This window comes from Homo sapiens, chromosome X (genome assembly GCF_000001405.40).
Source record: "Homo sapiens chromosome X, GRCh38.p14 Primary Assembly".
Classification (NCBI taxonomy): Eukaryota; Metazoa; Chordata; class Mammalia; order Primates; family Hominidae; genus Homo; species Homo sapiens.
Window position 1 is genome coordinate 28,032,196 of NC_000023.11, and position 25,087 is coordinate 28,057,282.

At 41.4% G+C, this 25,087-nt stretch overlaps 1 long non-coding RNA gene across 1 annotated transcript in view; it reads left to right on the forward strand.

Moving 5' to 3' along the window:
* LOC105373151 (uncharacterized) overlaps window positions 1–19,256 on the forward strand; it is a 67,568-nt gene extending 48,312 nt beyond the window's left edge. The window contains exon 4 of the long non-coding RNA XR_950539.2: window positions 19,158–19,256. This is a non-coding gene — a long non-coding RNA (uncharacterized LOC105373151). The remainder of the gene's footprint in view (window positions 1–19,157) is intronic.
* Window positions 19,257–25,087: the final 5,831 nt, after the last annotated feature.

The following is a 25,087-nucleotide window of genomic DNA, read 5'->3' on the forward strand; positions in this document are numbered from 1 at the left end:
GTTTGTATCAAAACATCTCATGTACTACATAAATATATACCCCTACTGTGTAATGAAAAAAATTAAAAAATAAATAAATGATTTTGTTTTAACAAAAGAAGGATCCCTGGACACCCCTGTGAGGGACAGACGGTGGCCAAGAGGCCTCAAAACTCCCAGGCTTGTGGACTTCCTGAACGCATGAAGGGCTAAGGGTTCCTGTGGCAGATGTCAGTGCCCTGACCATAATCACTCTCCTTCCATTGCAGGCAGGCCGGCAGGTAGCTAAAGAACCCGAGGTTCCCCAGCACACAGTCAGATGTGCTAGAAGGAATTCCAGAACTCAGGGAGTTGGTGAGCCTTGTGACCAGAAACTTCCCCAAGTCACCACCGTGATGAAGGTGTATCAGTCAAAGATGCCCTAAATCACGAGCTTTCTGGATGGATTGTTGACAATAAGGCTCTAAATTTCACAGTGCAGAAGACAGCTGGTGTATAAGCATCCCTTGTAACCTAGTGTGAGGCTTTCTGGTAACTAAAAGGTCATCCAAGGCACAATGCAAGGGGACACTGTGTCGAAGGGCCTTTGGGGCACCAATTTGTTTCCAGGCACATGTCTGTAAAAGCCATGGGGCCACAGAAGCTAAGATGGGCCAAGGCTGAAAGTGCTTTCAGTTCTACATCTCGCAGGATGTTTGATACTCCACAAAATCTTGTTTCCCTAGCACAAAGTCAGGCTGGAAGCAGAAGGACCCTGGGGACCCTCATGAGAAGGACTTCTGCTGGCCAAAACTTTCCCCAGGACACCAGTTTGGTGGCCAGACAGTGAACAAAATGGCTCTTGATTCCTCTGCTTATGTGCTGTCTAAGGGCTGATAGGATTCATGGTTTCCCTATGGTTGGTCTATGCTATGGCCAAAAGTGCTCTCATTTCCACAGCAGACAGCAGCTGATTACAGAAACTCCTTGATTCCCCAGTACATGAACAAGGTTTGGCCAATAGAAAACCTGAAACCCTAGGTGGCTGAAAATTCAGTGGTTGTTAAGGTTCCCCAGAACACCAGTGAAAGGGAGTGGAGATATGGTGACAGAAATGGCTCCCTCACACCAGCACTCTAGACTGATTGTTGCCAATAGGGCCTTATATTCCAATTTTTGTGCCTCCATAGCACAGGAGGAGGCTGGTGTTCATAAGTGCCCCTAGAAACCTATTGTGAGGGTTATCTGGTCACCAAAAGGGCCCCAAAAGGACCTTGCAGCAGTGCATGGGCAGAAGTTTCCGGAAGAGCCCTGGGGAGGCAGAGGGTGGGATGATACAAAACTGGAAGAGTTCCATATCAGACAGGATGGCTAATAGCCAATGATCCCTGTTTCCAAACACACAGGATTTAGTAGAGGGCAGAAGGCCCCCTTGGACACTAACACATGAGAAGTACCTTGGCCAAAAGGGTACTAATGTCCACAGCACACAGGCTGGCTTATGGCCAACAAGGTCTTGTGTTCCATGGCACAAGAGCACGCTAGTGTGCCCATAAGTGCCCCCAGGAACCCAGTGTGTGGGATGCCTGGTTGCTAAACAGGTGAGTAGGACATCGGTGTAAGGGCAGGAGTCTCTAAAAGTGCCCCTGAGGCACAAGTGTGCTGGTAGGCTTGTGTCCAGAGGAATCCCAGGGACAAAGAAGGTGGAATGACCAATGTCCAAAGGGCCCTGGGTTCCACAGCCTATAGAGACACTGATGGTCAAAACAGTACGTAGTTCCCTAGCACACAGGCAGGCTATAAGGACCTGTGGAACCGCAGTGGGAGGGCTGGCTGGTGGTTGGTATGTTGCTAGAGATACCAATGCATGGGAAGGACAGTGGAAAAGGGTTCTAGATTCCACAACACAGAGATTGACTGAAGGCCAGAAGGGCCCTTGGTTCCCCAGTGAGAGACCTGTGCTGTGAACTGAAAAGGTTCTAGTTTCTGCATCACATGGGCAGGCTAGTTGCTGAAGAACCCTCAGTTCCCTGAAAAGAGGACAGAATGGGGGCCACAAGGAAACCACAAACCCTAAATAGTGGAAGGTCACCAGAGCAATGGAGGTACAGTGTCCAAAAAGGCCTCAGAGCACTAGCATTCTGAATGGGCTTACTAATAGAGCCAATGTTGTATGGCAGGGGAGTTGGCTAGTGACTATACAAACCTCCAGGATACCAGGGAGGAGCAGTCAGGTCACTGATAGAGTATCTAGGGCACCAGCTCATGGGGCAAACCATGATTGGAAGTACCCTCAGGGTACCAGCACCAAGTCAGGCATGTGTCCCTAAGCGTCCCTGTGCATAACGGGGATCAAAGTTAAAAGGGATCTAGGTTCCATGACAGTTCAGACTGCTGGTAGCCCTGAATCTTTATACCCTCAATACAAAGGCAGGCTGTGGAGGTTGGTGAGGTGAAAGGACTCTGGAAACCCTAATGGGCAGGCTGACTGGTGGTCAGAAGGTTCCCCAGTTCTGTGGACAGACCGCAGGTGAAAAGGTTTGCTTCCTCAGCTTGTGGGCTAGCAGAGGATCTGCAGGGCCCACAGTTCTGCAAGAGGCCAATACTGTGACTGAAAGTGCTCTCTTTTCCACAGCAGGCACCAGGCTGATCCCCAAAGAAACCTCAATCCCCCGGCAAACAGACAAGCTGGGTGACAGAAGGAAGCTAGGCACCCTTGGTGACAGGATGGTTGGTGGCTGGAAGGTTCCCCAGGGCACAAGTATGCTGGAGGTTTAGTAACAGAACAGGGCCCCATGGGCTGGGCACGGTGACTCAAGCCTGTAATTCCAGCACTTTGGGAGCCCGAAGCCAGTGGATCTCCTGAGGTCAGGAGTTTGAGACCAGCCTGGCCAACATGGCGAAACCCTGTCTCCACTTAAAATACAAAAATTAGCCAGGCATGTTGGTGCATGCCTGTAATCCCAGCTACTCCAGAGGCTGAGGCAGGAGAATCGCTTGAACCTGGGAGGCGGAGGTTGCAGTGAGCTGAGATCGCAGCACTGCACTCCAGCCTGGGTGACAGAGCAAGACTCTTTCAAAAAAAGAAGAAGAAGAAGAAGAGGGTCTTGTGTTAGTTTGCTAGGGTTGCCATAATAAAATACCACAGACATCATGGCTTAAACAACAAAAATTTATTTTCTCACAGCTCTGGAGGCTGGAAGCCTAAGATCGGAGTGTTGGCAGGTTTGGTTTCTTCTGTGGGCTCTCTCCCTGGCTTGCAGATTTCTGGGCTTGCAGATTCCTTGACTTGCAGCCTTCTCAATGCATGCCCTCACTTGATCTTTCCTCTGTGTGTACAGGTTTGTGTTCAAATTTTCTCTTCTTATAAGAATATTATCATCTTATATGACATTAAATCATATAGGATTAGGGCCCAGCCATATGACCTCATTTTATTTTAGTTACTTTAAAGACCCTGTCTCCAAATACAATCATATTCTGAGATACTGGGGGTTTGGACCTAAACATGAATTTTGGAGGGCACAACTCAGCTCATAACATACCCCCTTGTACAAACAATCTGGATAAATGGTTGTCAATGGGGTCCTACATTTTACAGCACAGGAACAGGCTAGTGCCCATAAGGGTCCCTAAGACCCCTGTGAATGGGCAGTCTTGTCACCAAAAAGGCATCCGGGGCACCAATGCGGGGACAAACTTAGACTGGAAGTGCTCTGCCAACACCCTGCAAGCCACGTGTCAGTTAAGAGTCTCAAATCTGAAGAAGGTAGAATAGACTGAGGAAGAAAGGACTCTCAGTTCAACAGCAGGCAGGGTGCTAGTCAGAAGAGTACTTGGTTTGTTACAATCCAAACTCCCAGCAGAAACTAAGTACAAACAGACTTGTACCTAAAAGGACCCATAGATGCTATGGAGCAGGCTGGCTGGTATTTGATAGTTCCACAAGGATGTTAATGAAGGGATGTCAGTGGCTAAAAGGGTACTAATTTTCATTGCACACTGGCTAGTTAAGGATGGAAAAGGCCATCGAAAGGAAAGGCACAAGGCCTATTCAATGACCAAAAGGATTCTGGTTTCATCCCACTGGAAGACTAATGGCCGAATAACCTTTGGTTCTGCAGTGTATAGACTCAACCGGAGCTGAAATGACCCCTGGATAGCATGCCGATGGGAAGTGGCTGCCTGAAAGTTTCCCCTGAGCAGGAGTATTAGGAGTATGGTGGCCAAAAGGGGCATCAGTGTGCTCAACAGCTGGCTGCCAATTGGAAAAATATTTCACAGCACAGAAGCAGGCTAGTGCCTATAAAGGCCCCCATACTACCAGAATGTGGGTAGTCCTCTTGCTGAAGGGGCATCAGGACACCAGTAGATGGGCAAACTGTATTTAGATGTTCTGCCCCTTACTAAATCCTGTGTGTTTGGAAACAGGGATCATTGGCTATTAGCCATCCCGTCTGATATGGAACTCTTCCAGTTTTGCATCATCCCACCCTCTGCCTCCCCAGGGCTCTTCCGGAAACTTCTGCCCATGCACTGCTGCAAGGTCCTTTTGGGGCCCTTTTGGTGACCAGATAGCCCTCACAATAGGTTTCTAGGTGCACTTATGAACACCAGCCTCCTCCTGTGCTATGGAGGCACAAAAAATTTGGTCACCAGCATTGTGCCAAGCAAGTGTCCAGAATGGCACCAAGGTAGCACAGGATGAGATGGAGTGATGCCCAAAAGGTTGTGGATTCCACAGCAGATTGGACAGCCTATGAACCCTCATATCACCAACACAAAGACAGCCAGGGAAAAATAATTGGAATCCTAGGGGGCAGGCTGACTGTTGGTCAGAAGTTTCTCTAGGGCACCAGCTCCATGGATGGATGGTGAACAAAATGGCTTTTGCATTCTCAGCTTGATAGCTAACTGAGAGCATGTAGAAGTCATAGTTTCCTATCTGGAGGCCAGTAATATAACTAAATGTGCTCTTGTTTCCACAGCATGCAGAGGAAAAATTGGCAAAGAGCTTTCAGTACCCTAGCATGCAGGCAACCTGTGAGCCACAAGGAAAGCCAGAACTCTAAGGAGCAGGAAATATGGTGACTAGGAAGTTTCTGCAGGGCACATCCCAGATGGAGATGCACTGGTAAAAAGAGGCCTGTGCATCTGCGTTCTGAATGGATGTTTGTCAATAGGGCCCCGTATTCCACCACATGGGAGCAGGTTATTAGGGCTACCCTGGCACCCAATGTGGAGGCAGTCTGGTCACAGGGTACAGAGGGCAGCAGCGCCAAGGCAGAATGTTTCTGGAAGTGATTCTGGGGTGCCAGCGCCCTAGCTGGTACAGGTACGAAGAAACACCCAGGGTCCTAGAGTTCAGGATGACTGGATGCCAAATGGCACAGATCCACAGCATGTGAGGGAAAGTGATGGTCAGAAGGGTACACAAGAGAGGTAGGGATGGTCCAAAGGGGTCTGTGTTCCCAGACCTATAGAAAGGGTGATTGATGATCAGAGGGTATGTGGTTCCCCAATTCTTCAGGCAGTCTAGAAGCCATTAGGACATGTGGAATTCCAGGGGCCAGGACAGCTGGTGTTCTAAAGTTCCCCAGGCACACTAACGTGGGGAGGGAAGCGACTGAAAGAGTTCTAGGATTCATTGCACATGGGGTAGTTGAAAGCAGAAAGAATCAATGGCTTGCCAGTGCGAGGCCTGCCAGAGGCCAGAAATATTTTGGATTCTGACTTGTGCAGGCAGGCTGGTGGCTAAAGAACCTTCCCAAGCACGCTCAATGACTTGTGACAGGAAGGAGTCCCGAAATCCTAATGAGGGAAGATTCACCAGGTTATTCACACCAAAAGATTAACTGTGTGGGGCCCTGAACAATCACCAGAACTTTAGCAGGAGGTCAGACTGTTGATAGGAGGATTCCCCAGGGCACACTCGTGAGGGACAGATGGTGGTCAAGAGGGATCATGATTCCTGAACTTTTGGTCTGCCTGAAGGCGCAAAGAGTTCATGGTTCCCTTGCAAGATGGTAAGGCTGTGACCAAATAGTCTCTTTTCCACCTAGGATGGGCAGGCTGGTCCCTAAAGAACCCTTGGTTACCGAGGGCATACACAGCTAAGGGCTGACAGGAAACCTGGGACCATAGTTGGCAAGAAATATGATGGAGGTTCCCCAGGGCACTCCAAAGATGGAGATGTGATTGCAAAAAGAGGCCCCTGTGTCCCAGGGTTCAGGATGGATGGTTGCAAATAAGGCCCTGTGTTCTACTGTACAAGTGAAGGCTAGTGCCCGTAAGGGCTCTCCTGAACCTAGTGTGCAGGCAATCTGGTCCCAGAAAGGACCTGGAGTGCCAGTTCCCTAAACAGCACATGTACAGAAGAAGAGCCCATGGGTTCATATAGGTCGGAATGGGGATGGATATGATGCCTAAGGGGACTGAATTTCCCAGTTCGCAGTGTTGGGGTGAGCACAGGGGACATAAGGACACACAGAACCATAGTGGCAGGCCCAGATGGCTATAAAAAGGTCCCCAGGGACACTAATGAGTGGGAAAGAACTATACCAAAAGAAACCTTGGTTCCATCACAAGCAGTGTAAGGTAGGACAGGAAAGACCATTAGGATCTTGATGCTAGGCCTGCCCAGTAAGTGGAAAGAATTCTGGATTCTACATTATGCAGACAGGCTGGTGGCTGAAGAAACTTTGATTCCAAGGAAACTCTGATGACTCTGGGTCAGAAGGTGCTACAGAACCCCAGCAGGGCCCACATAGGGGATCAGACATTTCCCCAGGGTACCCACACGGTTAGCTTAGTAGGGGAAAAGGACAGTGGCCGAAATGACTTATCCGTGAAAGCAGAGTACCAAGGCTTCCCCACTATGAGGTGTATAGGGTGACTAAACTTGCTCCAGTTCCAACAGCAGGCAGGAAAACTCATGACCAAAAACCTCTCAGAACCCAAGCATGGCCAGGCAGGGAAGAACCCAGAAACGTTATGGCCAGAAAGGCCCTGAAGTCACTAACACCATGAAGTAAAGGTGCCAAAAGGGGTCCCCGATCTCTAGAGTCTTGTTACCATGATTTTCAATTAGGGCCACATATTCCATAGTATGTGATCTTGCTGTGGCCCATAGGACCCCAGTTCACAGTCAGTCTAGACGCAAAAAGATTTCCCAAAGTAGCAGCGCTGGGGCAGATGGTGTCCCGAAGTCCTCTGTCCCTGCCCCTGGCACCACAAAAGGAGCTGGCATATGTCCAAAAGGATCCTGCGGTGTAAGAGGTTGAGATGGACCCAGGTTGAAAGGCCTAGTCCTGCTGATGGCCCTAGTAGGAGAAGCCCCCGTTTCCACCCTAAAAGGATTGTATGAGGACATGAAGGATCCCTGGAACGCTGGCGAGAGCAGAGATTGGTGGCTGGAAGCTTCCCTGGGGACACCCACAAGAGGGACAGACAGTAGCTGAAAAAATCGTGATTCCTGAGATTGTGAATTCACTCAGTGCCTAAAGGACTCGTGGTTCTCCCGCAAAATGCCAGTGGCCCGATGGTAAATGCTCTTCTTCCACCAAAGGAAGGCAGACTTGTCACAAAAGAAACTTAGTCTTCCCAAGGACATTAACATGTGGGTAGTCCAGTGACTGAAATGATTTCAGCCTCAATTCCATACATGGACTAGCTGAGGAGCAGAAGAAACATAAGTTCCCCTGGCCTGTCCAGTGATCAAAAGGATTCTGGAGTCTGAATCATTCAGGTGGGTTGATGGCCAAAGAACCTCTGTTTCTGAGGTACATGAGATAATGGGGCCAGAAAGAGCACTGGAACCCTAAATGAAGGGGCACATCTGTGGTCAGATTCACCAGGATATACGCACCGGGGGAAGGATGGTGGTAGGGACTAAAGGATCACCAGAACCCTGGTGAGCAGTCAGACTATGGATAGGAAGATTCTTAGGGGTATTTGCAAGGCACAGACAGTGGCCGAGAGTGGTCATAATTTCTGAACTTGAAGCTTGGCCAAAGGCAAGAAGAGCTTATGGTTCACTTGCCCGATGAAAGTGCTGTGACCAAAAATGTGCTTCTTTCCAGCTCATGCAGGTAGGTTGTTCACCCCTAGGGGCTGGAGGCCAACAAGAAACCTGGAACCCTAGCTGGCAGAAGTATGATAACCAGAAGGTTCCCCAGGGTACCACAAAGAGGGAGGTATGGTAGGGAAGTGGTTCTGAAAGGATGGTCACTAACAAGACCCTGTGTTCCACACAAGGGTGCAGGTAAGTGCCCATAAGTGCTCTCCTGGAACCCAGTGTGAAGGCAGCCTGGCTTCATAAAGATTCTACAGGGCAGCAGTGTCCTGGATGGCACGTGTTCAAAAGAATCCTAAATATCCTGAATGTCAGAACGGAGATGGACAAATGCCCAGGTGTCTAGATTCCACAGCCTAAAAAAAGTATGATGGTCGCAAGTATACATTGTTCCCCAGCTGATGGGCAACCAGTCTACAGACTGTAAGGACACAGGGAACCATAGACATTAGCCCAGAGGGTGATGGGAAGGTCCACAGGGATTCTTGGTACCACTGCAAATGGGGTCACAGGACTGGAAGGGCCATAGGTTTCCTTCCCCAAACCTCTCCCCAAAGGCCTGTCCTTTCCCTGGGGCAGCCACAAGAGGGGCAGATGGCTGCTAGTGCTCATAATTCCTGAAATTGCAGCTAGCTCAAGGCCTGAAGAACTCACTTCTTCCCTGTCCTAAGTCAGTACCCTAAATATAAATATAAATAATACAAATGCTCTCCTTTCACCACAGGAAGGCAGGTGGATCATATGATAACTCTCATTTCCCCAGAGACACAGGATACGCGACAGCAGGAATCTAAAAACCCTAGCTGGTGAGAAGTCTAGTGGCCAGATGGTTTTGAGGCAATGCCCTGGTAGAGGGGCAGTGGAGAAAAGGGGTCCCAGTACTAGAGTGCTGGATGGATGTCTTCTTGTATTAGGCCGTCCTGGCACCGCTATAAAGAAATACCTGAGACTGGGTAGTTTATAAGGAAAGAGGCTTAATTGACTCACAGTTCTGCAGGATGTACAGGAAGCATAGTGGCAACTGCTTCTGAGGAGGTTTCAAGAAGCTTCCAATTATGGCAGAAGACAAAGGGGGAGCAGGCACATCACATGGTGAAAGCAAGAGTAAAAGAGAAAGAGAGTGGAGGGAAGGTGTCACACACTTTTAAAGGACCAACTCTGTGAAATCGGGGCCACAGCTCACTTAACATCAAGGGGATGGCCCATTTATGAAGGATATGCCCCTTTGATCCAAATACCTCCCACCAGGCCCACCTCCAAATTGGGGAATACATTTCAACATGAGATTTGGGTGGGGACAAATATCCAAACTATACCACTGCCTTTAGGGAATTGTGATCCATGGCATGGATGTAGGCTAGTGCCCATAAGGGCTATCTTGGAACGCACTGGGCAGACAGCCTGGTCTCAGAAAGGGCCTACATGGCATCAGCACCAGTGCAGAATGTATCTGGAAGTGCTCCTGGGGTGCCAGTGTCCAGGCAGGGTAAGTCCAGAATAATGGACAGAGACCTAGAGGTGGGGATGGACACAACGTCCAGTGGGCTCTGGGTTCTGAAGCCTGTAGGGAGGTGAGGGGTGCAAGGGTACAAGATGCCCCAGCTCACAGTCACACTGGCACCATAAGGATGCACGGAACCTAGGGACTGGGCCAGTTGCTGTTCAGAAAGTCTCCAGGAACACCAGCACGTGGGCAGGTATGTGATCAAAAGAGTTACAGATTCAATTGCATACAGGCAATGAAGATTGGACATGGCATAGATTTTTTTTCTAGCATCAAGCCTGCCTGGTAACTGGAAGGGTTCTGGATTCTGCATCATAGAGGCAGGCCAGTGGCCTACGAACCTCTGTTTTCCAGGCAACCCAGATGCTTCCGGGCCAAAAGGGGCCCTGGAAGCCTAGCAAGGGACCATGTCAGTGGTCAGAAGGTTCCTCTGAGCGCCCACACTGGGGACAGGGGTTGGGGGTGGGGGCGTAAGGGAAAAGGAAGGAATGTACGAGTACAGAGTGTGGCCAAAATTGCTCCAATTTCTGATCGCAAAGTCCCCGCAATATCCCAGTGTGAGGTCTGTACTTTCACCGAACTTGCACAGGTTTCTACATTAGAAGAATTTACGAGCAGAAAAACACCAGGTACCAAGCATGTCTGCGGACTGTAGGCAGGAACGATCTCAGAAACTTTTAGGGCCGGAAGGGACCTCTTGACATCAGTGTCACGGAGTACGGCTGCCAAAAGGCGCCCCGTGGCAGCAACATGCTAGAAGTTTGGTTGCCAGTGGTGCCATATATTCCGCTGCACAAAAGCTGGTTAGGGTCCCTTGTTATCTCATGTCGTGGGCATTCTGGTCACAAAAAAAAAGGTTCCCAGGGCAGCAGTTCCTGGGTAGATATTATCCAACAGTGCCCTCCTCGCCGCCCCAATACGGTAGCAGGTATGTTATCTGGAAAAGTCCCAGGGTCTAAGAAAGCGAAATAGACTCAAACTGAAAGGACTCGTGCTACTTAAAGCCTAAAAGGAGCCCAGGGTTCCACCGCATGAGGACTGTCGGGGGGGGGTGTTAGGGATCCCCGGAACCCTGGGGAGATGGCTAACTGGTCACCGGAAGATTCCAGGGCACCTGTGTGAAAGAGAGACGGTGGCCTAGTGGGCTCAGTATTCCCTAGATTGCTGGATGACCCCGAAGGTTCTGAAAGGATCATATTTCCTCTGCAAGAAGCCACTATCGGTACTGGAAATGTTCTTTACATCGCTGGCGGGCCGGCGGGTTGCAGAACTTCTCAGTTCCCCAGTGCTCGCGCCGTCTTGTGGTAGGAGGCAACCCGGAACCCTAGCTGGTGGGAAGTTTGGAGGACAGAAGGTTCCCCAGGGTACTAGCCGGGTAGAATTAAGACCAAATGCGTTCCCTAAGCCCCCGCCTCCCCCTCCCCCCAACTCTGGAAGGATGATAGTAGATCCCTGTTACCCACGGAAAGGAGCAGGTTATAACCTGTAAGGCACCCCTGGAAACCAATGCGCGTGCAGTCTGGTTTCAGAAAGGGCTCTTAGGCCCCCAGCGCCAGGACAGAAAGTGTCCGGAAGTGCTCTCAGATACGACTGAAGTGGCAGGTACAAGTCTGAAAGAGTCCTGGATTCTGAGCGTGAGATGGACCCAGGCCAAACGGGCTAGTTCTGCTGATAGCTCTGGGTTCACGGAAAGGGTCCCCCAAGGCCCTTCGTACGGGTGAGATGATTGCTGCCAGGGCCCTGGGTTCTTTTAGGCTGTCTTAGGTAAACAGTCTGATGCTTCCAAGGCCTTCGCTACACCAGTTCTTGGTCATGCTGGTGCCCCTAAGGATCTGGGTCGGCATCTGGAGGGCTGTAAATTAGCCTGAAGGACCACTGGCCACCTGTGCCTCATCAGGCTTGTGTTGCAAGGACCATGTTTCCCCATAGGGGATTTTTGGTTGGCTTCTACTCTTCTGGGATCATTGCATGAGAGCTAGATAATGACTAGATAGTGCCCCTGAGCCCCAGCACGAACAGTGGCTGCTCCTCATGTACTCTTTGCTCCTGGAACTCCTATCTAGTACTTTTCCAGGGAGAAATATATCCCACTGCAATCCTAAATTTAACTAAACTGCCTTTTACAAACAAGATGACAAATTCTCAAAAACAAGAGACTTGGAAATTTACCATCCTTGCACTAGTCCAGAAAACTCTTCTTGTATAAACAAGAAAAGCAGGGAAGTATATGCAAAAGAAGTTGCAATGCAAATCTTATCCATGTAAATAAAGGGATGTTTAAGTAATTTTGATTAATGCTATTACAGAAGATAATATGCAGATTATAATTCCTGAAACAAAAGCTACATTATGTATGCATAATTATAATTTGATTCTAGTGGACTAGAACCAAAATCCCAGTAAATAAATTCACATAGTAAAAGAAACAGGAAACACAAATTGGCCTTATCCCTTCTCCTTTGGGCATGGGGTTCAGGTACAAATTGTTGTTAGTGCAAATGATTTTGTTATGTTTAAAATTTGTTAATTTTAAAATTATATAATTGCCCTTATTATGGAGAAATGTAAGACCAAATTGAGTTGAATCATTATATGTAATAAAGTACAAGCAGATGGAAAATTTATTCTGCCTGATTATGATATATGTATATATATGATTCATATACATAAATTATATACGTAGATGTAATATATATGTACACACACACACACACACACACACACACATATGCCAGAAGTTTCACCTGGCAGGGACTAGGAAAAATTTTTATGATTAGATGAATTAATGGCCTTTGTGAACAGTAATGTTAAGATATTTTCAGCTCTATGCTGGCTTATATTCCCCTATATTATTTCAAACTATTATGAACTCTTAGTTATACACATTAAACTTGTTTTTATAAGACAAGGAAAGTCCAACCTTGCAGGCACCAGATCTCTGGTGAGTTTGGCTTTCCAAACCCAAAGCAGAGCTGAGGACGGTAGAAATAGGAGATAAGAGAACATCTATTTGCAGAAAGGTATGACCCAGAAATTAGATGACAAATTTCTTTTTTAAAAAAATTGTGGGTACATAGTAGGTGTATATATTTATGGGGTACATGAGATGTTTTGATACAGACATGCAATGCGTAGTAATCACATCATGGAAAATGGGGTATCCATCCCCTGAAGCATTTATTCTTTGTGTTACAAACAATCCAATTACACCCTTTTAGTTATTTTTTAATGCACAATTAAATTACTATTGAATATAGCCCCTTTGTTCTGTTATAAAATACTAGGCCTTATTCTTTCTAACTACTTATTGTACTGATTAACCATCCTCACCTCCCCCCATACCCCCAATACCCTTCCCAGTCTCTGGTAACTATCTCTCTATTCTCTATCTTCATGAGTTCAGTTGTTTTGATTTTTAGATCCCATAAATAAGTGAGAACATGCTTATCCTTTTGTGCCTGGCTTATTTCACTTAGCATAATAACCTCCAGTCCCATCCATGTTGTTGCAAATGAGAGGATATCATTCTTTTTTGTGGTGGAATAGTACTCCATTGTGGATATGTACCACATTTTCCTTATCCATTCATCTGTTGATGGGCACTTAGGTTGCTTCCAGATTTTGGTTATTGTAAACAGTGCTGCAAAAAATATGGGAGTGCAGATATCTCTTCAATATACTGATTTCCTTTCTTTTAGTTATATACCCAGCAGTGCAATTGCTGCATCATATGGTAACTACATTCTTAGTTTTTTGAGTAACCTCCAGATTGTTCTCCATAGTGGTTGTACTGATTTACATCCCCACCAACAGCATGTAAGGCTTCCCTTCCCTCCACATCCTCGCCAGCATTTGTTATTGCCTGTCTTTTGGATATAAGCCATTTTAATGGGGGTGAGATGATATCTCATTGTAATTTTGATATATATTTCTCTGATGATCAATGATATTGAGTACCTTTTCCTATGCCTGTTGGCCATCTTTTCGTATGCTTGTATGTATTCTTTTGAGAAATGTCTATTCAGATCCTTTGCCCATTTTAGAAATTAGATTATTAGATTTTTTTTCCTGTAGGGTTGTTTGAGCTCCTTATATATTCTAGTTATTAATATATATTAATATTATTAATATTTCTACTAATTTCTTGTCAGATCGGTAGTTTGCAAATATTTTTCCCATTCTGTGGGTTGTCTCTTCACTTTGTTGATGGTTTCCTTTACTGTGCAGAAGTTTTTAACTTGATATCATCCCATTGGTCTATTTTTGTTTTGATTGCCTGTGCTTGTGGGGTTTTACTCAAGAAATTTTTGCCCAGACCAATGTTCTGGAGAGGTTCCCTGATGTTTTCTTGTAGTAGTTTCATAGTTTGAGGTCTTAGATTTAAATCTTTAATCCACTGCCAAATTTCTTTTACCCCAAATATCAGAGAAAGTTAATTGAAGAGGGATCAGCAAAAACCAGAGTTATGCTATCACAAATTGCGAGGAAGAAATTAATAGTCAGGGTTTCATTTTAGAAATTAACTGAGGAAAATAAGTTTGAGTAAGATATTTTCATTTATAAAGGTAGCAACGTCCAATGTCAAAGACAGTTTACTTTAGAAATCATTGGAAAGGAAAATAGGGTACACAGAGAAATATATGTTTGACAGCTTTTTTGATATGTGAACTTGACTAGGCTACTGTCCCCAGTTATTCAAACACTCATCCAGGTATTGCTGTGAAGGGATTTTGTAATGTAATTAAACTCTAATTAATTGACTTTCAATCAGGTTGAGCCTGACCTAATCAGTTAGAAGGTCTAAAAGCAGGGCTGAGGCTTTCCTGTGACAGAGAAGATATTCTTCCTGTGTACAGTAGTGTCCACCTGTGCCATGGACAACTTTTGTCTTTTTCATAATTGTCTCTTCCTGACTGCCTGTGGGCACAGTTTTGACCCATGTCCATGGGTTCCAACATGTTTTTTTTTTTTTTAGACGGTATTTCGCTTTGTCGCCCAGGCTGGAGTGCAATGGTGTGATCTTGGTTCACTGCAACCTCTGCCTCCTGGGTTCAAGCAATTCTCTGCCTCAGCCTCCTGAATAGCTGGGATTACAGGCACCTGCCACCACGCCCGGCTAATGTTTTTGTATTATTAGTAGAGACGGGGTTTCACCGTGTTAGCCAGGTTCGTCTTGAACTCCTGACCTCGTGATCCACCTGCCTTGGCCTCCCAAAGTGCTGGGATTACAGGCGAGAGCCACCGCAACCGGCCCCAACATGTTTATGATAATTCCTTCCTGACTTCCTGCCTTACAGATATTGGACTTCCTTAGCTAGCCAACACAATCATTTTCTTTGTATAAGATCAATCTCTCTCTCTAATATATCTATGTCTATATCTCTTATGTATACTTATCTTACATATGCCTATCTTATACATACCTACCCTACTGGTTCTGCTTCTCTGGTTGATACATGACAAAAATAAAGAAGTCTAGAAATATCTTAAATGAAATAAGCTGAAACTGATTTTTTTTAGGAAGTAATAAATGAAAAGAGAAGAGCAATTGACAGATAAATCTAAGAGGTAGTCTTTTGATAAATAGTTACGCAAAATTAGATATGAGAAAGTGGAAAATAACAAATTCACGCAAAAATGAAAGGATTATAGGAGATTATTTTCTGTAACTCTGCGCTAATAGCTTTTCCAGTGTTATATAAAATCCTGAATTTGACTCAAGTACAGTTAAAAAGCCACAATAAACCACTTAACTCTGGAAGAATTAGAGATTGTGGTCAAAGGAACTACTCTGTCAAAACCTATACTGCTGTTTTTCATATCATTTCATTCAAATTATTGGGAATAGATTTTATGGCATTAACTCTTCAAATCATAAAGAATGCAGAAAAAGGCCGGGCGTGGTGGCTCACACCTGTAATCCCAGCACTTTGGGAGGCCGAGGTGGGCGGATCACGAAGTCAGGAGTTTGAGACCACCCTGGCTAACACAGTGAAACCCCGTCTCTACTAAAAATAAAAAAAATTAGCCGGGCGTGGTGGCGTGCGCCTGTAGTCCCAGCTGCTCAGGAGGCTGAGGCAGGAGAATGGTGTGAACCCGGGAGGTGGAGCTTGCAGTGAACCGAGATCGTGCCACTGCACTCCAGCCTGGGTAACAGAGGGAGACTTGGTCTCAAAAAAAAAAAAAAAAAAGAATGCAGAAAAACATAAAAGATGTTTATATGAAGCTACAATACAGTTATATTATTCAAACCAAAACAACTGAATATTGCTTCTTTATGGTTACATATAAATTCCATATAAAATATTAGCCAATATAATCTAGAATTACATTAAAAGAATAAAGGTTTAAGACAAACTGGTATTTACACTACAATTACAAGAATGGTTAATATGAGAATTTCATTATGTCAAAATAATTAAAAGGTAATTTTGATAGAAGTTGATAATGCATTTGATAAACTTTAAATATTCATTCCTGATAATAAAATTTTTTACTAAAAGAGGAACATAAAGATATCTCCTTAATCCTCAACACATGTATGTTTTCTTCAACTTAATATACACATGCGTACACACACAGGTACATACACACACTAAATGATAAAAGACCAGAAGCGTTTCTATTAAATTTGGAGAAAGAGAGAGCTATCTAAAATATTATTATTTATGTACATTTTGGAAATGCTAGCAAAAACAAACAAGGAAAAATAAGAGTAATAAATACTGAAAAGGTTACAAATACATCTTCATTTGTACATGATATGGCTCTATACATGAAAAATTCCACAAAACAGACAAAAACCAAACATTTAAAGAATTATGGGAGTATTCAGAAAGTTGGGTAATTAAAATTTAAATGTTAAATTTATAGCTTATTTTGCTACCAAAATCTTTTGAACACTACAGCAGAACATTAAAAATAAACCTAGAGTGACTTATTTTATTACTGGATAGACCCACTATTAAAGATTCCAAATTTTAAACCATTTTATAAATATAGTGCGATGCTAATTAAAAATCTACACATGCTTATGTAGTTTGTATATATTATTCAATTTGTTTGGCAGAGAGGAGCAAGAATGTTATGTGATGACTTTAGACGTCTGGGTGAAATTTAGGTTGGAAGTGGGTACAGGTAGGACAAAACAGAACATAGGTAGTTTACTTCATTTCCATGCACTTTCAGTTACCACTGTTATCTTGAATCAATAGTACTGTCCACTTAGAGACAGTCAGAGTTTTAAAGTAAGTAGAGTATCTGAAAACTAATAGCAACAATGCTAACATGTAGTGGATACTCACTAAATGCCATCTCCCTTTCTTTTGTCCTTCTTAGTTGAGCTGGTTTTCCAGATGAAACAATGAGAGTTGTCTATGATTTGGGCCAATGTATTTTGAAACAAAATCAGAGTTCTTAATGTATTACTACATAGAATAGTTCAGAACTATCATATTTACCAATACATGCATCCTCATGTGACTGAAGGACTAACACAATCTTTGGGGTCATGTTTAATCTTTATGTAACTCCAGGGTTCAAACTTTAGGTATTGGGCCAGTTAGGGCAAGTTCCCAAAGCCTTAACTTGGTAGATCTCTAAATCAGTTTCTTTTGCCATTTAATCTTCTCTTCGGTTGGCTGGCAAAACCTGATGGATCAAGAGCTTAAATGAAGATCACTAAATCCTCCCTTTTCTGTTCAGAATCCAGTGAGATTTCATTACATCCCACACACACAGGATTTCATCTCCAGGTTTCAAGGAAAGGAAATGATCCCTATCGTGTAGACAAGTTAGAGAATCCTTTCTTAGTTCATATACTCTCAGTTTAGCTTATGATAAATATCAGGTTAACGTGTCATCAGAAGGCTGGGGATTATTTCAGGTATAAATAAAATGTTTTCTCCATTCTGCCGCTGTTTCCTGATAACCAAGATTTGGCTGGAGATTCAATTTCTTGATCATAAAACACAGTTTCCACTGCCAAGGTGCTGTGATCAGATCATTACCATGGTAGTCAAGCCCTTTACTTTGTTACACTTAGCTGCCTAGTATCTTCACGTAACCATCCCTGTTTTTCTTATGTATTTGTTTGCTGGTAGACTTTTTGTTAGCAGATATTTGGCATTTCAAGGTTGTCTGTGAACTTTTATTTTCATTAGTTTAATAAATGTCTCCCCCATGTCCGATCTAGCAAAATATCTTAAGGACGTAACTAATGAGTATGAAGTCCCCTTGGAGAAGAGAAAACAATAGATCACAATTCAATTATGGCAGTTTAAATGGAAGGAATCCATAACTTACATCGTAACAGCCTCTAAAAGGAAAAAAGTGACCATGTTTTTATAATATATATATATATAATAATGTTAAAACAGTTATTAATAGGGTATATCATGTAGCACACCTTAAATATATATAGGCGATGAAACATACTATCTTATATTTGTCCTAAGGCAGGAAATGATTATAGTTTGTTTTCTACTTTCTGAAAGTGTTTTGAGGGAGGTTACAATAAATACACGTACAAAAAAAATCATTCAAATAACTGAAAAAAAAACACACACATACAATAAGACAGACCGACAAATAAAAGAACTTTCAGATCAATGGGAATATTATATGAGAAAATGCAAGCTATAGCAACCAAGTTCTAAATTTCATGTGAAGCATTTTAGGATTTTTATTACCTAAAGGAAATGCACTAAGGCAAGAGGAGGGATTTTTTTCCTTGTTATAAGCACCAAGAGGAATTTGTCATAGAATTATTTATATTTAAATGAAAAATGCTTTATTATTTAGAAGTGGGGAAATGGACATTGACAACATTGGATTATTTACATTCAATATTTATCTCCATTATGCTAAAAAAAACCTCATTGTGCTACAGAATTTAGTTCTGGAATCTTGAAAAGATAAATAGTTTTAAAACAGGATTATTTATCTGAAATAATCCACGGCTCATGGTATGAAATTTTATATAATAATGTTTATTTTAATACAATATATGGCCAAAGTCCCTGAAAACATCTTTTTGTTCATAAGTATAACATAAGGTTGATCTGATCAATGTAGCAAAATGATTGAAGAACACATTGAGGTGTACATCACCCTAAAATTTCCAAAGTAAGCCGAAAATTCCTAACCTTTTGAATGTTTCAGAGTTGCTTTATTGACAGTGGGGGAAGAGAATGTGTTTAGAGGGGAGTCGGAGTGCCAATGAGAAAGAAACCTAAAGGAGATCTTTTGAGACTGGTTTCTTAAATATTTCTTTATAAACTCAAAAGTGAGACAAAGCAATGTAGATGTGTAAAAAATGATGAAATCCCATCTACCCAAAAGGATCACCCGGGGCCACTATTTTGGTTAATCTGTTGTTGTCTAGGCTCAGGTCTGCAGGTCTGGTAGCTCAGATAATTGATTTCAAGAGCACAACATGAACAGGTTTGTCACTCAAAATCAGATTTGTATTCATTAAGCTAAGAGATAACTGTGTGCAAAGTTATAATCAAAATTCGTAACATTAAAATAAAAATTATCAATTTGTTTTAATCTATAGACTAGAGTTCATATGCAGTAGTGTGTGTAAGTTGATATGACCAATATATTTTCTTTCCTTAGGTAGATCTATAGTGAGAAGCTGAACCATAACTGAAACACTGCTAAGGAAGCATGGGATGATGAGAGAAGACACATTCATCTTAGGATGTATTCGTTAACCATAAGGTAGCTTAAACACTCATCCTCATAATAGTACCACAATAATATTTATGATAAAGACTTACTGTTCCCTAGACAGTGCTTGGGTGAGTTCCACACACATTTCCTACTTCAACTCTTCTTCTTTATTTTCATTGGCAATGAACCCCAACCTAAACCACTTCTAATATAACTTAATACCTTCAGTTAAGCCCCATAAATAAATGTATTAATTTTTTTTTTTGAGACACAGTCTTGCTCTGTTGCCAGACTGGAGTGCAGTGGCACAATCTTGGCTCACTGCAACCTCCACCTCCCGGGTTCAAATGATTCTCCTGCCTTAGCCTCCTGAGTAGCTGGGACTACAGGCATGCGCCACCAAGCCCAGCTAACTTTTTTTGTATTTTTAGTAGAGACGGGGTTTCACCATGTTGGCCAGGAGGGTCTCGATCTCTTGACCTCATGATCTGCCTGCCCCAGCCTCCCAAAGAGCTGGGATTACAGGCGTGAGCCACCACGCCTGGCCACACATATGAAATATAAATATACATATGAAAAAAATATATATGTATGAAAGCCCATCTACCCAAAGGGATCATATTCCAAAGATGACAGCTGAAGTTCTTGAAAACATCTTTTTGATTATAAGTATAGCATAAGGATGATGTGATTTATTTATTAAATCTGATTATCTTATTTATTTATTAATAATAAATAAATATATGGAGCTTGACCTAAGGTATTAAGTTATATCAATATATTATATGTATATAAAATATGTTTAATCAAAACCAAGAGTTATACTAATATTTAAAGTAGTTTTATATATCCCTGCTGTGATTCTTTCTGGGCTGAATTTAGGGTAACACTTATCTCCCTTATTTCTGAGGTTTTTCCCATAATATGCAGCTTAGCATCGCAATTAAAGTGTATCTTGAATATGATTGCATGTAAGGCTTCATGACATGACTCATGTAGATTTGCTAACATACCTGGAGGTGAAGGGTTCTCTTCTCCCAATCTGCCCTGTTTTAAGAAAGTAGAATTGGGGCCTATATGTAAAGTAGGATTAGAATCGATATCCTTTTTTAAAAACTCTTATGTTAGATACAGGGGTACATGTGTAGGTTTGTTACATGAGCATATTGTGTGATGCTGAAATTTGAGGTATGATTAAAGCCATCACGGAGGTAGTGAGCATAGTACCCAAAAGGTAGTTTTTCAACCCTTGTTCCTCTCCCTCCCTCCCTCATATTGTAGTCCCCAGTGTCTGTTGTTCCCATCTTTGTGTCAAGGTGTACCCAGTGTTTAGCTCCCGCTTGAAAGTGAGAACATGCGATATTTGGTTTTCTGTGCCTGCATTAGTTCGCTTAGGATAATAGCCTCCAGTTGCATCCATGTTGCTGCAAAGGACATAATTTTCTTCTTTTTATGGGTGCATAGTGTTCCATGATGTATACCATTTTTTAAATCCAATCCACCTTTGATGGGCACTTAGGTTGATTCCATGTTTTGTTATTGTGAATAATGCTGCATTGAACATACAGGTGCATGTGTCTTTTTGGTGGAATGATTTCTTTTCCTTTGGGTGTATACCCAGTAATGGAATTGCTATGTTGACTGGTAGTTCAATTTTTAGTTCTTTGAGAAATCTCCAAACTGCTTTCCACAGTGGCTGAACTAATTTACATTCCCACCAACAGTATATAAGTGTTCCCTTTTCTCTGCAGCCCTGCCAATGTCTGTTATTTTTTTTCCTTTTTAGTAATAGCCAAGGAATCAATGTCTTTAATGTTCTAGCAACCCTGATTTAAAATGAGAATGCAAATGGATTTTTATTTTTATTAAAACCATGAATATATCCTCCATTTTAAACCTGAATATATCTTTGAGTGTTAAAATTATGATTTTTTCTCCATAAATAAATGATAGAGGAAGAAAAATATAAGGGGTTATTGAGTTCATATCTTAAAAAATAATTGCAATGAAGTTCTGATAATATTACAGAGGTTATACTTTTTTGCCTGTAAAGACAATCATATTTTAGTTGGTACTCATGGACATGAATTGAAAGAATGAATTGAAATGGATATAATACTTTCATCTATTATTCAGCAAGGTATCAAATGAGGTGTTATGACTTACAGTGAGCAACTTCAACCTATCATTTTTGCCAATCTAAATATCTGATTAAATGTCAAGCAAGTGCAATGTGAATGTGCTTTCCAGAAATGCTCTAAATAAGTAGAAATGGCTGTTTCTGTAGCTTTTCTGATATAAGCTGTGCTCTTTTTTTTTTTTTTGAGACATTGAGTTACTAGAACTGAGATGAACACTGGGTACCTCAAAGTGAAAAATGACTGAATTTCAACTCAGCAGCTTACCTCATGATCTAGTTCCTCTTTCTACTCACCCTCTTTTCATTATGCTTTAGTTGTATTGACCATCTTTAGATTTCTTCCACATTCCTTAAATGCTAAGACATGTTGCCTTTTTCAGCCTTCACATTCGTGTTTCCCAGACTGGATAGCTGCACTCACATCTTCGTATGACTGCAGTCTCTGAAAGATTAATAGGGCTAGAAGATCTGCTTCTAATGTGGCTCGCTCAGATGGCTGCCAATTTGGTGCTGACTGTTAGCAGGGGAACTTATTTTCTCTCCACAGAGCTGCTTGAATGTTCTCACAATATGGAAGCTGGCTTCTCCAAGAATGAGCTATCCAAGAGAAAGACAGCCAGACATATTTATACTTTATATAACCTAGCATTGGAAGTCACATAGTATCACTTCCACTACATGCTGTATTTTAGAAGTGATCACTGAAGAACTCTCCACATTAAGGAGGAGGGGAATTAGATTCCACCTTTAGAAGGGAAGAGTGTCAAAGAATTTATATTTTAAAACCACCACATTAAGACTCCTGATTTTCTTGAATCTAAACAGTTACTCCTCACTAAACAGATATTGTATTGCTCATAAAATTAGTACAATGACAATAGTAGTATCTAATATTTATTTGAATATTATCTTCTTTCCTTTCAACATGTGACTTTTTTATACTCCCTTGAAATTTCAAATTTAATTTTATTGTGTCTACTGCTTCAAGTCTTATCAAAGATGTTTTCCTCCAATTTTATAATGCAAATATATAGAAAACCATAATTCACTCACAAATTGATCTACAGCAAAAAATGTGGGACACATAGATCTGTTATATCCTATATAATAGTATCTATAAAATGTATGTGAATTTTAGATCCTTTTAAAAATTGATTAGCAAATGATGGTAGACTGTATTATGTACAAAGATTTGTGTGCCTACATTTCATTTTAGGCAATTAATTAAAGTAGAAATTATTTTATTCTAGGACCTACTTTAATTTCCAAAGAAGTGTATAAAACTGTAAAAAGAGAGAGAGATGCCATAGCATGTAAGAAGTGTGTATGTTCTTTCTGTATTTAAATAATGTAATATAATAAGGGTGATTCAAACTAAGGTTTTAAATGAATTGGTTGAATGTTACTGTACTTATTATAAATTCTTGATCTTTGAAATAACTAATTTGATAAGTTTTTTTTACAAAAATAGAAGGTAAAACTTACTCATAACTGGCATTTTATACATCTTATGTTGAAGTCATAAACAGAAGAGAGTTTACCAGTGTCCCTAAATACACTATAGTTAATCAAGTCTTAAATCAAAATAGCAGAGTGCATTTTTCAAGCTCACAAATGTACAAAACTCTAGAAATTAAAGGCCTTATCATCATCCCATCATCCACTATACTTAAAATATGCGTACTATGGACTGATATCTTTCCTGGAGATATATTCAGTTATAGGCAAGAAAGGAATGTTTAAAATTACTAAAACTATTTCTGTGCTTCAGCTAGAAAAATTCAGTTATATCACCAGCTGGAATCTAAACACAATGCATAGCATAGCATTGAGTGGAATTAGTGTGTTAAAAATTGTCTTTTGATAATAGTTGTTAATTATAACCATCTTATTAACCAAATCTGGTAGTGTTGTTTTAATTTTTTCTTCTTGCTGTGATTTTCTTTCATAATTGTGCAAGGTGATTATTTTCAAATTGGATTATTTTTAATACACCAAGTAAATCTGCTTTGTCTCTCTCTGGGCAGCAGCATGTTATTTTTGAAAAGACAGGTTTTAGAGTCAATTAGAACTATATTTGAATTCTAGGTCTGCCTTTCATTTGCTTGTGACCCTGGAAGTTACTGATCTTTTCTTGGTTTCAGTGCTCTCATATTTAAAACATGGGGTTAACACCCAATATGCAGTGCCAATTTAATAATTTAATTAGACAACATGTATGTTTGGCACATAACCGATGTTCAATAAATGTAAGTTACTCACCCTTACCCAAAATGCTCTGTTATCTTGGTGCCATTTTTGTTAAATAAAAATGAGAATATTTTGCAAATCTTTTTAAGAAAAAAATTATATGTGGCTATAACCTGTGGTCTGATTCTGAGAAAATGGTGAAAAAAACAGAAATGAACCTCTGTTTTCTTCTGAATCTACTTTAGGAAATCCTCTTCCTTTTTTGCCATCACCTGGTATAATCTAGCACTCACTAGCTGTGGACTTGAATAAATTACTTAACCTTCTTATGCCTCAGTTTACTTATCTATAAATTGGATATAATAATAGTGCCTGCATCATTAGATTGTTAGGAAAATCAGTTGCATTAGTTCAAATAAATGCTGTAAAATAATAAACAGTTAATTTATATTAGCTACCAATATTATTTGTAAAGTTTGTATAGTTGTTTCACCTAATGCTCAAGAACCACCTCCAACCCCCTACAACCTGACTTGAATCTAAATTTCAAATTTTCATATATTCCCATCACTACCAACATCCTATATAATTCTACTAAATTCCAGGCAGATGGTACACTATAATTTCAGGAGGTTCCCACAGCTCTTGAAGTCCATTCTTAGATCCCCTAACTTATTTACAAAAATTTCTAACTCGAGTGTTATGCAAAGGAATATATAATATTTTAAGTGCAGAAGTATAACACAGCTCCAAATACATAGCCTAACATTTGATGTTTCTATAAAATGATTTATATTTATTTAGACATCTTTAATATGTGCTTATTTCTACATCTCCCAAGCCTAGTCTCTTAAACTTCCATGGATTCCTTTTTCTGGCTTTTTCTTCCAAGTTCATAGCATATATTTTACTACAAAGGCATTCTAATGTATATGTCCTCATTTTGCTGTTTATAGCTCAGATGAAAATTTTCATTATGTCAAACATGGCCATTATTCCACTAGCTTTTTAAAAAAGCACTCATTTTCCTCCCTTCAAAGACATGCAAAACAGAAATCTTTCATAATTCTATTTACATAATGGGGTCCAATTGTGTGAGTCAGCATTAACAAGACGCATTTTTCAGTGAACCATTATTTCCTTCTTTAACTAAAGGTAGCAAGTCCTTTTTTTATTGATAGATCCAAATTTCATCTTCCTGGTTATTGATTAAGAATAAATCATCGGACACTTGTCACAATTCGAACAGACAAAGAACGTAAATAATGGGTCTGCAAAATAAACTCTGACGAGAAAGGAAGGAGAGTGGAAATAGCATCAGAGCAATAGATCTCTTAATTTTAAAATATCGGTTTACTTCAGAACTGTACATACTGTCTGGGATGATGAGTAAGCAAGAACATCAATAAATGGGAAAGTCAAGCCCTAATAATTTGTTTTATAAAATTTTTAAAAAATATATAATGTTAGTCTTCAATTTTATAAATTATGGTCTGGGAAATGCTTAAAACAGCATTTTTCATCTAGCAGTAGTAGAATCCCA